This window comes from Homo sapiens, chromosome 1 (genome assembly GCF_000001405.40).
Source record: "Homo sapiens chromosome 1, GRCh38.p14 Primary Assembly".
Taxonomy (NCBI): Eukaryota; Metazoa; Chordata; class Mammalia; order Primates; family Hominidae; genus Homo; species Homo sapiens.
Window position 1 is genome coordinate 205105871 of NC_000001.11, and position 15792 is coordinate 205121662.

At 40.7% G+C, this 15792-nt stretch overlaps 1 protein-coding gene across 9 annotated transcripts in view, besides 3 other annotated features; it reads right to left on the reverse strand.

The window, feature by feature from the left end:
- Window positions 1-15792, reverse strand: part of RBBP5 (RB binding protein 5, histone lysine methyltransferase complex subunit) — a 35837-nt gene that overhangs the window by 19729 nt on the left and 316 nt on the right. For 5 of the 9 annotated variants that reach the window (XM_047426905.1, NM_001193272.2, XM_011509833.4 and 2 more), the window contains exons 2-3: window positions 9988-10013; window positions 8919-9091 (exon numbers count right to left, since the gene is read on the reverse strand). In XM_047426905.1, coding sequence (XP_047282861.1) covers window positions 8919-9091; window positions 9988-10013 — 199 coding nt within the window. Of the gene's footprint in view, window positions 1-8918; window positions 9092-9987; window positions 10237-15792 lie in introns of all 9 variants that reach the window. The other 4 variants (NM_001193273.2, XM_047426907.1, XM_047426894.1 and 1 more) reach the window with 3 other exon arrangements.
- Window positions 289-433: an enhancer, noted in NCBI's record as "145 bp 1:205075359 sequence used in MPRA reporter constructs". NCBI's record gives its function as "activates a minimal TATA-containing promoter with rs4950981 allelic activity by MPRAs in C283T melanocytes {active_cell/tissue: C283T}" and the evidence as "EXISTENCE:reporter gene assay evidence [ECO:0000049][PMID:36423637]".
- Window position 361: a transcriptional cis regulatory region, noted in NCBI's record as "rs4950981 or 1:205075359 MPRA-significant variant associated with a GWAS melanoma risk locus at 1q32.1". NCBI's record gives its function as "allelic transcriptional activity by MPRAs in C283T melanocytes {active_cell/tissue: C283T}" and the evidence as "EXISTENCE:reporter gene assay evidence [ECO:0000049][PMID:36423637]".
- Window positions 14168-14726: an enhancer, noted in NCBI's record as "H3K4me1 hESC enhancer chr1:205089166-205089724 (GRCh37/hg19 assembly coordinates)". NCBI's record gives its function as "activates a minimal SCP1, AML or CMV promoter by ChIP-STARR-seq in naive H9 embryonic stem cells {active_cell/tissue: H9 hESC(naive)}" and the evidence as "EXISTENCE:reporter gene assay evidence [ECO:0000049][PMID:30033119]".

Genomic DNA, 15792 nt, shown 5'->3' on the forward strand with positions numbered 1-15792 from the left:
TAACCAACCTACGCCAGCCAAACATCACAGAAAAGAAATGCAAATCCCCCTCTTAGCCAGGTTGAAGCAGATAGCCTAGACTTCACCTTTATCCAGCTATAACAAGGCACCCTCCCCACCTCACTGGGGTGGTGTCAGAGAAGGATCAGTAGAGAATCAGATTTGCATTACCACCAGCAGTAATGAGGTCGCACCACCATGGTGTCAGAGAAGGACACATAGAGAGAAGGAACAAGGAATTCCTATCCTTCCCAGACAGGATGTTATCAGCAGAGACCTAGTGGAGAGCCTAAACTTCCAATCCCACCCAGCAGTAATGAGGCCAAGTAAGAAGAAACCTGGACTTTCACCCACCTCTGGGAATAACAAGATGGTACACTCCATTTCCCTGTGCAGTATCAGAGGAGGCCTGCTAAACTAAAAGATTTAAATAACATCTATAGGACGGGCGCAATGGCTCACACCTGTAATCCCAGCACTTTGGGAGGCCAAGGCAGGCAAATCACTTGAGGCCCAGAGTTTGAGACCAGCCTGGCCGACATGGTGAAACTCCGTTGTCTACTAAAAATACAAAAAATTAGCCGGGCATGGTGGTGTGCACCTGTAGTCCCAGCTACTCGGGAGGCTTGAGGCAGGAGAATCGCTTGAACCTGGGAGGCAGAAGTTGCAGTGACCCAAGATGGCGCCACTGGGCTCCAGCCTAGGCAACAGAGTGAGACTCTGTCTCAAGAAAAAGTAAAAAATAAATAAGATCTACAGTCTCATAATACCCAAAATGCCCAGGTTTCAACTGAAAATCACTTGTCAACTCAAGAACAAAGAAAATCTCAACTCGAATAAGAAAAGACAATCAATAGACACTAATACAGAAATGACATAAATGTTAGAATTATCTGACAAGGATTATAATGCAGCCATCATAAAAATGCTTCAACAATTATGAACATGCCTGAAACAGATGGGGAAAAAAGCCCAGAAAATCTTAGCAAAGAAACAGAAGATACAGAGAAGAACCAAATGGGAATTTTAGAACTGAAAAATATAGTAACAGAAATAAACTCAATAGATGAATTCAGCAGCCAATGGAGGAAAAAAAGGGAAAGAATTAGCAAACTGGAAGATGGAATAAAAATTACCATAGACATATATATATATGTGTCTGTGTGTATATATGTGTGTATATGTATGTGTGTGTGTGTGTATACATATATATATATACACACACACACACATATGTATCTATACACACAGAGCCTCAGAGACCTGTAGAACTATAACAAAAGATGTAATATTCATGTCATCAGAATCCTGGAAGGAGAGAATACAGACTGGGATGTTAAGGTTATTTGAAGAAATAATGGCTGAAAATTTCCTAAATCTGGCAAGAGATACAAAACCTACAGATTCAAGAACATCAACTAGGATGAGCCCAAAGAAATCCACTCCGAGAAATACAAACTTCTGAAAACTAAAGACAATGAAAAAATCTTGAAAGCTGCAAGAGAAAAATGATGCCTTATCTATAGGGGAACAACAATATGAATGAAAAGGGATTTCTCATCAGAAACCATGAAGGCCAGAAGGAAGTGGCACATTTTTCAAGCACTGAAAGAAAAGAACTGTCATTCCAGGAATAAACGGGTAAACTGAGACACTTGTTGCTAGCAGACATACTCTAAAGAATGGCTACATAATGTTCGGAAAAGATTAAAGGAAGGGTTTAGAACATCAGGAAGGAAGAATGAACAATGAAAAGAGTATAAATATATGGGTAGATAAAATTACTTTTTCTAAGCCAGGTGCGGTGGCTCACGCCTATAATCCCAGTACTTTGGGAGGCCAAGGTAGGTGGATCACCTGAGGTTGGCAGTTGGAGACCAGCCTGGCCAACATGCTGAAAACCCGTCTCTACTAAAAATACAAAAATTAGCCAGGCATGGTAGCACATGCCTATAATCCCAGCTACTTGGGAGCCTGAGGCTAAAGAATCGCTTGAAACCAGGAGGCAGAGGTTGCAGTGAGCCGAGATCGCGCTATTGCACTCCAGCCTGGGTAACAAGAGCAAAAATCTGTCTCAAAAAAAAAAAAAAAAAGGCAGGCGCTGTGGCTCACGCCTGTAATCCCAGCACTTTAGGAGGTCAAGGCGGGCGGATCATGAGGTCAAGAGATCGAGACCATCCTGGTCAACATGGTGAAACCCGGTCTCTACTAAAAATACAAAAATTAGCTGGGTGTGGTAGTGCACGCCTGTAGTCCCAGCTACTCGGGAGGCTGAGGCTGGAGAATCACTTGAACTTGGGAGGCGGAGGTTGCAGTGAGCAGATATCGCAGCATTGCACTCCAGCCTGGGTGACAGAGCATGAATCCGTCTCAAAAAAAAAAAAAATTACTTTTTCTCTTCTTGAGTTTTGATGTTTGAAACACACATTTTAACACTGTCTTATGTGGGTGTCAATGTATGTAGAGCAAATATTTAAGACAATTATATTACACACAAGAAAGGACAAGGGGACAACAGGAAGGTAAGGTTTCTACACTTCACTTGAACTGGTAAAATGTTCACCAATACAACTTATCACCAGTAGACTGTGGTAAGTTATAAATGTATGATGTAAAACCTAGTAACCACTAAAGCTACACAAGGGTATACACTCAAAAAACACTACAGATAAAGCAAAATGGAATTCTAAAAACTTGTCCAAGTAGCCCACAGGAAGGCAGGAAACAAAAACAAAAAACAAATGGAACAAGTAAAAAAGTAACCCAAAACCGATACTTTACCCAGGTTTTGAAATCAAGAGGAGGTGCTATTGAGAAACTCAGCAGGCAATATAATCTCCATGGTTAAGAATATGGCTCAAAAGTCAGACTTCTACTCAAGCCTAGACATTACTACCTCCTAGCTGTGTGATCTTAGCACGTTACTTAAGCTTTATGGGCTTCAATTTCCTCATCTATAACACAGGAATAAAAACGGTATCGACCTGCAGAAGGCTGTTGAAAGAATTTAATACATACAGAATTCTTGGCTTGGCACATAATAAGTACTCAATGCCTGATACATAATAAGTGCTCAATGCCTGGTACATAATAAGTGCTCAAAAAATTATTTATATCAGAGACAAAATAAATATACTGCCAGACTCAGGACTCTAGGAACAGAGGAAGGCAGGGGTAAGCTAAGGTTATAAATATAGAGGGATTAAGTTAAAGCCTGCACACAAAAGGACTCTGTGTGTCTCTTCTACTGGGTCTAGAATACCTGTAGTCAGGCAATCAGTGAGTCCTTCTAGAGAATGTCAACTCTAAAGAGGCCTAAAGGTGTTAAAATGCAAAGGTGCACAATAAAAAAGCCAATAGCTGGATGATGATGATGATAGGAGGGTAAAAGGGTGGATGATGGGAGGGTAAAGGGTAAGTTAAAATTCAAATACACTGTAACAGGAAACCCAATTTCTGAAATTAACAAACCAAGAAAAAGCAATACACATTATATCAGAAATATGAAGCTAAACAGCAGAAGAAATAGCCCCCAAAAATAGAAGTCTACTGGGAATGGCACAAGACTGAGAGTGAGGAGAAAAAAGGAACAGGTTTCGTTGCTATTCTTGTAGGCCTGTTAGCACAATTTGACTATAGAACAAAATGTTAGCTATGATTCTATTTTCCCTCTAAACTCTTCTGTACTAGGGGGTGGGTGGGGTAAAAAAAAAAAGAAAAAAAACCTACTGCTACTGCACTATAATTTTTGTTTTCTTTCACAGCAAGCTTGTATTTCTGTCATAATGGAGGGAAATCTAACTAAAAATTAAGTTATAAACAAAAGTAAAAACTAAAAAAAAATTTATTCTTCAATTCCAAATTCCATAACCTCAAGAATTAGGAATTATACTTTTTCACAGCTTCTTTCCCAAAAACAGATGGGTCTTTACTGATTCCAATGTGCTAAAGTCTACCTATGGCCCCCATCCAGTGCTTGAATTTCTTCTGCAGCATCCTAACAAGGGGGGTGGCAAGCTCAGGCAGGAACAGCTCTCAGATAGCTCTCTCCTGGGCAGTCAATCCCACCCACAGCACCTCTGCTTGGGAGCTCCTCTCTACTTGGAGTTAACTTTGTTTCCCTATAGCTAACTTCTGTTCACTACCTACTAGTTCTGTTTTGTTTTTTGGGTTTTTTTTTTCCGAGACAGGGTCTCGCTCTGTCGCCCAGGCAGATCCCGGCTCACCGCAACCTCCATATGCCGGTTCAAGCGATTCTCCTGCCTCAGCCTCCCGAGTAGCTGGGATTACAGGCGCATGTCACCGCACCCAGCTAATTTTTGTATTTTTAGTAGAGACGGAGTTTCACCATGTTGTCCAGGCTGGTCTCGAACTCCTGACCTCAAGTGATTGGTGAGCCTCGGCCTCTGAAAGTGCTGGGATTACAGGCATGAGCCACCGTGCCCAGCCAGTACCTACCAGTTCTGCTTCTACATCCTGGGCCATTTTTTCTCTCTTTCATACATCAACTTTACTAATAGTTGAAGTCAGCTATCATGCCTACCTAAAACTTCCCTTGGTAAAATTTGTTCCCTAATATGCTCAAATAAGGAACAGTTAAATCTATGATGCATGTATACTGTGCAATACTCTATAGACACAACTATATAAAATAAGGAGACACAGAGAAATATCCACTATATGCTAAGTGGAAAAGCAAGCTACAGAACAAAATATATTTATTTTTGTTTAAAAACATATTATGTGGATATATGTATTAATTATTTCCCACATAAAAAGATATAGATATCTTATAGATAGAATATATTCCACACTCTTTAACAGTGGTTACCCTAAGAAGTAGACAAAGGGCTTTCATTTTTTACTTTGCATATTTATATATTCTTTTAATTTTTAAAAATATTTTTAAATGGCCAAGCACGGTGGCTCACTACTGTAATCTTGGCACTTTGGGAGGCCAAGGCAGGCAGATCACCTGAGGTCGGGAGGTCAAGACTGGCCTGGCCAACATGGTGAAACCCCACCTCTACTAAAAATACAAAACTTAGCCGGGCGTGGTGGCCTGCTTCTGTAATCCCAGCTACTCAGGAGGCTGAGGCAGGAGAATCACTTGAATCTGGGAGGCGGAGGTTGCAGTGAGCCGAGATCGTGCCACTGCACTCCAGCCTGGGTGACAGAGCAAGACTCTGTCTCGAAAAAATTTAAAAAAAACAAAAAACTTTTAAATAATCAAGTATAGGTTTTGTGATTTTAAAATATTAAAAATGTTGGAGGGAGGGGTTGAAAAATCTCTTACTTTATATCCTTTGACTGACTAATAACACTTCTGGAAGTCTACTGTAATGAGAACTCATAGACCAAATGCCCTTTGGGCATCTCAGATGCTTATTGGGACATTTCCCATTCATCCGACAAGTATCTGAATGGCTACTGTATATCAGGTACAACGCTAGAAGCTGAGAACATAGCAGTGAAATGGCACACAAGGTTTGTACTCAAACAGCACTTAAGATCTTACAGGGAAGATACTCTAACACAAATATTTGCAATAAACTAACATGAAAATAATAGGAGACATGCAACCATAATCTCAAACTCACCACTTCCCCCTCAAATCTTCCATTAATGAGTATCTTCAACCAAGCCAGAAACCTAAGAATTATCTTAACTTCTCCATTTCACTCACACCCCAATCAAATTAATGACTAAGTCCTCTTATTTCTACCATTTCTCACATCTGTCTAACTTGGCTCCTTTCTTACTGCAACACTCATTATCTCCAGCCTAGACCACAGCAGTTCTCCTATGTTCACTTACTGTTGCCCCTTCAATCTCTTTTCTACTTGTTGCTTTGAAGATCTTTCTAAAATAAAAGCTCATCATGTGACTTTCCTGCCAAAATCTTTTAATGACTTCAGAGTACATATGAGCTAGGAATCAAATTCCTGAGTATGGCAGACGAGGTTCTCCATGAGGACCTTGGTTTACCTTGGCTCTTGTCATATCGTATGTCCCATACCACAATCCAGCTATCCTGATACCTGTAGTTCCCCATTGTACCATACTTGTTTCAAGCTGATATGCCTTGGCCTGTGCAGTGCCCTCTGCTTGGAATATATCTGGCAACATCTACTTATCTTACAAATTTAAAGTTATAAATTATCTGGCTGGGCATGGAGGCTCACACCTGCAATCCTAACAGTTTGGGAGGCCAAGGCAAGCAGATTACCTGAGGTCAGTAGTTCAAGACCAGCCTGGCCAACATGGCAAAACACTGTCTCTACTAAAAATACAAAAATCAGCCGGTCATGGTGGTGTGCACCTGTAATTCCAGCTACTCAGGAGGTTGAGGCAGGAGAATTGCCTGAACCCGGGAGGTGGAGGTTGCAGTGAGCCGAGATCGCACCACTGCATTCCAGCCTGGGCAACAGAGCAAGACTCTGTCTCAAAAAAATTAAAATAAAATACAGTTATAAATTATCTCATCTATGACGGCTTTTCTGACCGTTATTCCCCTTCACTACAATTGATAACTTCCTTCTTTGTGCTTTCATCTCCACTAAATCTTAAATATAGTTCTTGTATAGGACATATAAAGCTTTAGTATATGTACCTGTATGCAAATCCACCTCCCACTAATCATCTAGAATTTCTCATTTGTTTTTGTGTCCCCAGAGCCTAACATAGCACCTGGTACATAACTCATGGTCAACACCTGCTGAATAAATGAATGAATGAATATATAAGAAAAACTATGGCACAAAGACATTCACTAAACACTATGTAGTTGAGGAAAAAAAACAGAAAATGGTTAAGTAAATTATGGTTTATCAGACAATATACAGTCATTTAAAAAGTTGTTAAAGGCTACTCAAGCAGAAAAATGTCGAGACAGTATTAGGAGGGAAAAGCAAAATACAGAATATAGCACAATTACAAACTATGCTTTAAAAAATCATATCTAGAAACTGGGCAGACATGGTGGCTCACACCTGTAATCCCAGCACTTTGGGAGGCTGAGGCAGGAGGATCGATTGAAGCCAGGAGTTCAAGACAAGCCTGAGCAACACAGCAAGACCCTGTCTCTATAAAAAATTTTTTAAAATTAGCCAGGCATGGTGGCGCACATCTGTAGACCTAGCTACGCGGGAGGATCACTTGAGCCTGGGATTTCAAGGTTGCAGTGAACTGTGATCGTGCCTGTGACTAGCCACTGCACTCCAGCCTGGGCCACAGAGCAAGACCCTGTCTCAGCAACAACAACAAAAATCTATACGTACAAAGTAGTAGTATCTGGTTAGGAGGACTACAGAAAATACTAGTTATCTCTATTTTGTTTTATTTTCCATGATTTTCTAGAATAAGTATATATTAGTATATAATAAAAACACACATATTTTTAATAGGTAAGAGTTCTTTTTTTTTTTAAGAGACAAGGTTTATTGTCACCCAGGCACTGGAGTGCAGTGGCACAATCATGGCTCATTACAGCCTAGAACTCCTGTGTTCAAGTGATTCTCCCACTTCAGCTTCCTAAGTAGCCAGGACTACAGATGTGCACCATACACCCAGCTAATTTTTTTACTTTTTGTAGAGATGAGGTCTCACTATGTTGGTCTCCTGGGCTCAAGGAATCCTCTCATCTCAGCCTCCCAAAGCGCTGGGATTATAGGCATGAGCCAACGCATCTCGCCAGGAGTTCTAAAATTATATTGTGATGATGGTTGCACAACTCTGAATATATAAAAACTTGTGAATTGTACACTCGAAATTTTATATTATGTGAAACACATACACACACACATAAAAATGTGTATTTTTTTTTTTTTTTTGAAACAGAGTCTCACTCTGTTGCCCAGGCTAGAGTGCAGTGGCACAATCTCAGCTCACTGCAACCTCTGCCTTCCAGGTTCAAGCGATTCTCCTGCCTCAGCCTCCCAAGTAGCTGGGATTACAGGCACCCGCCAACATGCCTGGCGAATTTTTGTATTTTTAGTAGAGACGGGGTTTCACCATGTTGGCCAGGCCAGTCTCAAACTCCTGACCTCAAGTGACCTACCCGCCTCAGCCTCCCAAAGTGCTGGGATTACAGGCGTGAACCACCGCGCCTGGCCCTATTTGAATCTTTATTGCAAGAATACAACAAAAAAGAAACAGAAAGGCGGTGGAAGGAACCTAAGAGATCATCCAGGCCAGTGCTTCCTGGATTATTGGATATGAAAGAAAAGTTTTGGCCCAGGCCACCAGTACTTTACTGGCCAAACTTTACTGTGATTCAGGCCTCCTCCCAATCCAGTGCTTTATAATACCATTTAGACAAAAGGAGATAGACTTAACCTTGATCTGATTAGGTCCTTTTGTTGGCCCCAAGTTCATTTAAAAAAAATGCTGCCCCAAAATAAAATTTTCTGAAGCAAATAGTTTCAGAGAGCAAGAGTGAAATCAATGGGAATTTATGTTACAGCAGATTTCAACTGTTTTTACGTTTTCTATAAAGCCTTAATAACTATATTTCATTGAAGGAATAGTCATACTTGTGACCACTAAAATTACTGGAATTCAGTAAACTGCACAAAACTGGACTCGATGACTTCCAAGCTTCTGTCCTAACCGAGACTTTTTATTCTAAATGAAAAGTCAATATCACAATTATACTACAATTACAATCTGAAAATATTTCATTTCAGTATTGAGATATTCTCAGCGCCTGATACAGATCCATAATACAATGAATTTCTCCCAAGAAAGGTGCTTCAAGGACAGCATGGACTCAGGATCTACATAAACCATGATAAACTGTATTACTAATGGCTGAATATTTAAAAATCTAAGTATTAAAATATCTACAATGAGATTTGCAAATATATAGTCATCATTCATTCTCCTCATATTTAAATATTAATTAAAAAATGTCTTACCATAAAGAACACACTGGATGGATGTGTGCACTAATTATTTTAGCAATGCCTCTTGTCAAGAAATCCCAGATGACAATTCGGCCATCATTACAGCCAACTGCAAGCAGTGTGCCCCACCTGTTAAAGGTGCAAGTCAAAGCCATGCTGATACAATCCAAAGTTCCATCAGCTTCCTAAAAATTGAAACAAATACAAGAATAGAGGCAACAATAGCCAGGTATCCAAATTATTTCCTAAAGGTTCTTTATCACTTGTGATACTTTTATTGAATATAAATTACACTGCATACCAAATAATCTCTCTGTGTCTTCTTATATCTATTAAAATAGCCAAAATGAAGGAACATTTATTAAAGCTAACCATGGATTCTGGAAACAGATGTGATCAATCCCTTACATCACTACTATAACTTTGTATAAACTTTCTGGAGGGCAAATGGGCAAAATATAACAGAAGTATTTAAAAAGTCATATCTATTGATGCAGTCATTGTAATTCTGGGAATTTATTCCAAGAATTTAAAACAAAAAGAATTTAAACAAAAAGAATTTAAAAGAATTTTTTAAATAATTAAAAAAGAAAAACCCTGGAATAGCCTACAATGCATAACATTAGAGAAGTCAAATTATTTCATATCAATACCAAGCTATTTAAAATAACCACAATGTCTATCCTCAAACATTCAAGTGTTATAAAATAGTTTTACAATTAAAAAAGTAAAGCACATCTATAGCATACATTTTGCTTTACTACATAAAAACATTGATCAAAACGAGAAAAGCACAAACCTATGATGGTGGTGTTTGTGAAAAATCCTTCAATGAAAGTTTTTCTTTTATTTAAAGGAAAATGAACTGTAAGATTACAACATCATGGTAAGATTTCTAGCCCACATTGCCTATTTCCTCCCTGATCAAAATTGTACACTAGCTCCTTATTATAGCATAAGATATATTATCACACTTAATGCTTCTCTGTCAAAACACAAGGATCAAAAAGTATTTTCTGTTCTAACATAAACACCCAGAAGTTACTATGTTCCTAAAATCACCACAATACTATACTCTTACCTCTGGATAGTTCTGCCCAAAGGACTCTGCAACAAAGCAAAGAAAGAGTTGATGGCACATGTACCACATAGCAAGGATCATACAACTCACGAACAGTGTATAGCAGTGGCTGACAAAACGAAAAGGGGGATATGATGCCCTTTCAGGCATTCCATGAGGCCATACGGATTTTCAAGATCCTGCTAAGATGACTTGTTTACTCTCATTATCTCGGAAATATACAGATGCGTTTTCCTGAGACTATATGACCTGGGATATTGAAACAGAGTGAGGGCAGAAGCAGATGTGAGAAGTCCCCCAACTTCTATTCAGGCAAACATTGAAGAGATTTGTAAAAATGTCACAACAGTGGCATTTTCCTCACTAAATACTTTGTTTTTGAAAACAAAATAACTACTCACATAAACATGTAATGGATTTATTATGGTTATTTCTATATAATATGCTTTAAAAATATTATCTCAGTTTTAACTTCTAAATTGGTAAACACTGGTAGGTAGATATCACCTACATAAACAAAAACTCTCTGGGGACCCTCTACTTCTTAAAAGTATAATAGGATCCTGATACTAAAAAGTTTGAGAACTGTTGACATATCCAAGTTAGCAACAGTCTTTCTCCATCACACCTTTTGGGCATTTCACAATTTATTTCCAAATTTACTAAGGTAAGAGCAAGGAGCCGGGCTCGGTGGCTCACGCCTGTAATCCCAGAACTTTGGGAGGCCAAGTTGCGGCAGATCACAAGGGAGTTCAAGACCGGCCTAGCCAAAATGGTGAAACCCCGTCTCTACTAAAAATACAAAAATTAGCCAGGTGTGGTGGTGTGCACCTGTAATCCCAGCTACTCAGGAGGCTGAAGCAGGAGAATCACTTGAACCTGGGAGACGGAGGTTGCAGTGAGCTGAGATCGTGCCACTGCACTCCAACCTGGGCGACAGAACAAGACTCCGTCTCAAAACAAAAAGAAAAAGAGCAAGGAAAGGCAAGAGTCAATTCATATCAGTCAAATTATCACAATTACTCTTTGAAACCTTGAAACCTTTAACAAAAGCAGCGATCACACCCCTTCCTGACTAATAACAGCATTTAGGTTGCAACAGCAAATAGCAGTTGATTAAACATGAAATTCTCTTTATTTCTTTGTTTTAGTTTTTTTGGGTTTTTTTTTGTTTTTCGACCGGCCTGGTTTTTTTTGTTTGTTTGTTTGTTTGAGACGGAGTCTCGGTCTGTCTCCCAGGCTGGAGGGCAGTGGTGCAATCTTGGCTCACTGCAACATCTGCTTCCCAAGTTCAAGCGCTTCTCCTGCCCCAGCCTCCTGAGCAGCAGCTGGGATTACAGGCATGTGGCACCATGCCCGGCTAATTTTGTATTTTTAGTAGAGACAGGGTTTTACCATGTTGGCCAGGCTGGTCTCAAACTTCTGACCTCAAGGGATCCACCTGCCTCAGCTTCCCAAAGTGCTGAGATTACAGGCATGAGCCACCACGCCCGGCCTAGTCCTTACAAATTTATGTGTAAAGAGCCCGTGTGGTGGCTCATGCCTGTAATCCCAGCACTTTGGGAAGCTGAGGCAGGTGGATCACCTGAGGTCGGGAGTTCAAAACCACTCTGACCAACATGGAGAAACCCTGTCTCTACTAAAAATACAAAATTAGCCAGGCGTGGTGGCGCATGCCTGTAATCCCAGCTACTCCAGAGGCTGAGGCAGAGGAATCTCTTGAACCTGGGAGGCAGAGGTTGCAGTGAGCCGAGGTCACACCATTGCACTCCAGCCTGGGCAACAAGAGGGAAACTCTGTCTCAAAAAAAGAATAATAAAAATAAAAATAAAAATAAACAAATGTATGTGTAAGTGTGTTTATATGAGCAAGGAAAAAGGTATAAAAGGATAACCCCACTGAAAATTTGGGATGGGGAGGCTTTTTTTCTGTATCTGTACATATATATATATCCATATATATATTTATTTGTTTTGAGACAGAGTTCGCTCTTGTCTCCCAAGCTGGAATGCAATGATGTTGGCTCCCTCCAACCTCTGCCTCACAGGTTTAAGTGATTCTCCTGCCTCAGCCTCCCGAGTAGCTGGGATTACAGGCATGCACTGCCATGTCCGGCTAATTTTTGTATTTTTAGTAGAGACGGGGTTTCACCATGTTGACCAGGCTGGTCTCCAACTCCTGACCTCAGGTGATCCACCCACTCTGGCCTCCCAAAGTGCTGGGATTACAGGCGTGAGTCACCACACCCCACCTCAACTGCTTGTAAGTGCTTTTAGCTGGATTCCCATAGCTCATTTATTGTGGTTCCCTATTATACACAGCTACTTGTTTGTCTCTCCTCTTAGCTCTATTTACGAGGGCAAAAGTGGTATCTTATTTCAATGTTTTTCAAACAGTAAGACGCAATCCACCATAAATGGATACATTAATTTAGTGAGTTGGAACAAATGTTGCAATAGATTAGAAAATATCGGCCAGGTGCAGCGGCTCACGCCTGTAATCCCAGCACTTTGGGAGGCCGAGGTGGGCAGATCACTAGGTCAGGAGTTTGAGACCAGCTGAGCCAACATGGTGAAACCCTGTCTCTACTAAAAATAAAAAAAAAATTAGTTGGGCATGGTGGCACACGCCTGTAATCCCAGCTACTTGGGAGGCTGAAGCATGAGAATCACTTAAACCCAGGAGGCGGAGGTTGCAATGAGCCAAGATCGCCAAGATCATGCCACTGCACTCCAGCCTGGGCGACAGAAGCAAGACTCCCTCTAAAGAAAAAAGAAAAGAAAAGAAAAGAAAAGAAACTATCAGAGAACACTGAACATAACAAGGATTAAATATAATTCTGAGAAACTTAGTTACACGTGTAGGTATATATAGTGAACTGTGATAGAATATATATTTCTTACTGTGATTTGTGGTAAAAATAAGTTTGACAAATGATCTTATTTAATTATATCTCCGGTGCACACTGGTGAATACACAGCAGGGACTCAAAAAGTGGTTGCAGAAGTAAAACTAGTGTCTACCTATGAGCCACTTGTCTAACCACATTAAAAATACATTGTCATTCATTTCCTTCATCTGGCCAGATGTCCTTCAGTAGGCTTCCACAATCACATTACTTCTGTTCCTTTCCTTTTATCTATAATCATTAACTTTCTCACTTTAAAATGCAGAGTCATTTTCAGAGATTGTTATCTTTCGGACCCAGGCTTCTTTAATTTGTCTAACCTTCCAGTGCTAAATATTCCTTCCTGGCTGGGCACAGTGGCTCACACCTGTAATCCCAGCACTTTCAGAGGCCAAGGTGGGCAGATCACTTGAGGTCAGGAGTTCCTGACCAGGTTGGCCAACATGGTGAAACCCAGTCTCTACTAAAAATACAAAAAATATAGCCAGGTGTGGTGTTGGGTGCCTGTAATCCCAGCTACTCGGGAGGGCTGAAGTAGGAGAATCGGTTGAACTTGGGAAGCGCAAGTTGCTGTCAGCCGAGATTGTGCCACTGCACTCCAGCCTGGGCAACAGAGCAAGACTCCGTCTCAAAAGATAAATAAAAATAAATATTCCTTCCTAAGTTTTATCCTAATGAACCTTCTGTATCATTCAAGAAAAGCCTTTTGCAAGATCCTGCTACTCTTTCAAAGTACTAGCGTTATCACCTTTCTTCCATCCTTAAGTTTTTACAAGTAAGCGTCAACCTTTTGCCCTTGTCTCCCACACCATTCTAAAATCATTGTAATCTGGTTTCTGTTCCAGCTGCTGAGGAGTCCCAAGCTGCCAAAGGACTAAACAGAGCAACCCATTCTCAGCCCTCAGACTCAACTGCTCTGATTGGCTTCTATGAAGACGCCACACCAATCTGTACTCTCTTCTTCCTCTACATAGATTAATACATGGAAGGCACTTGAAAATCTGCCTAGCTCAGAGAAAGTACTTTATAACCGTTAGCTAACTTATTATCTCCACTTATTCCTCCTCTTAACCTCTAACTACAGATTGTGTGCTTGGCAATTTTCTTTTCTCCCCCTCCCACTTTTTCTCTAGATCATGTCCTCTATTCACAAGGTTTCAATGAGCCCATCTGAAAGAATACAAATCTCTCCCATAAATCCAAACCTGTCTCCTGACCCCTAGACCACATTCAGCTTCTCCAAAGCTGTCTTTTTCCAATGACCTTACACTTTATCAACAGCATCATTATTTGCTCTCACCATTTTTCACGTCACTCTCTTACTCATCAGCACTATATGCAATCTATTCTCAAATTTGTCATCCCTACCTCCTCAATGTCTTTTCTATTTCCTAGCTCAGGCCTTCCTCATCACTCATATAATCTACCCCTCCAAACTGGTTTTACACTCCTCCAAAACTCAACTCCACATTGCTGTCAGACAAACCTTACAAACTCATAGCTCTGATTGAGTTACTAAGTCAAAATCCTTCAATGGATCTACCCTACCTTCCCTAAAAAGCCCAAACTTTTGAGCTAGGCATTCGAGAACCAACACAAAATAGATGGCACCGATCCCATCCCCTGGCATTCTCTTTATCCACAACCTGGCCAAGCAGGAAAATTCTTTAGGTCTTCTCTCACTGATGCCTACTGAACATCCCTCCCATATTTTCATACTTCAGCCTGTTGATATTTTACCAACCTTAAAAATCCACTTAAGGCCGGACACTTTGGGAGGCTGAGGTGAGTGGATTGCTTGGGGCCAGGAGTTTGAGACCAGCCTGGCCAACACAGTGAAACCCCATCTCTGCTAAACATACAAAAATTAGCCAGGCATGGCAGTGCGCACCTGTAGTACCAGCTACTCAGGAGGCTGAGGCACGAGAATCACTCGAACCCAGGAGACAGAGGTTGCAGTGAGCCAAGACTGTGCCACTGCACTCCAGCCTAGGCGACGGCGCGAGGCTGTCTTAAAAAAAAAAAAAAAAGTCCACTTAAAACTCCAACTCCTCCACAGGTTTGGGGGGTTTGTTTTTCCTGGTTGACTTCTTCCTTTACCCCAAAGACATTCACTCTCTGTTCCAAACATTCTTAGCAACTGGTAATGACTCTTTCAGGCCTGCCTACATTCTGCAATATCCTACAGCTATTTTACATAATCACCTTAAACTCCCTGCTTAATGAAAAGCTCTTTAAGGGCAAAGACCATTTTTTATGTATCTTTGTAGCCCTTTTGACAATTAACATATCTTCTGACTTTTTTAAAAGAGAAACCTAACCATTAGGAACAGCAAGTAGTGCAGAAGTCCTTGAAAACCTCAGCTACCCCTAGAATACCATGCTAAATGTCACCTAATGGAAGTCCAGGAGAAAGGACCTACAGTTTTTAAATAATCTGGATAGGAGGTAAGGAGGCAATGACTCAAAGTGAGGGCGACAAAAGACAACTCCCTCCGTATTTCACACCTCAGTGTTTTACACACCGTCCCTAGCAAAGGACCTTAAACAGAAAGTTAGGATAATTGGATTCCAGTGCCAACTATGCCATTTACTTGCTTAGTGCCTAGCCATTACCCTCTGAGCCTTTATTCATCTGTTCAATGAGAAGCTTCTACCAGAAGATCTCCAAGTCCCCTCCTTAGACTTCTCTTTTCTACAAAAAGATTAACCTGTTCAGGCACCCAATTCCCTGACAAGTCTTCAAAGCTTCATCCCAAGCCTCACTTCTTCAAATTCCATCTCCAACAACTCTGGTCCTGGCTGCTCTGGGTACTTCAACACCTGCGATCCTCATAATCAAAGCTAAGTCACAAACTGTCTGTCCCCATCGCTCCATAATTGATATGAAAGTGGCC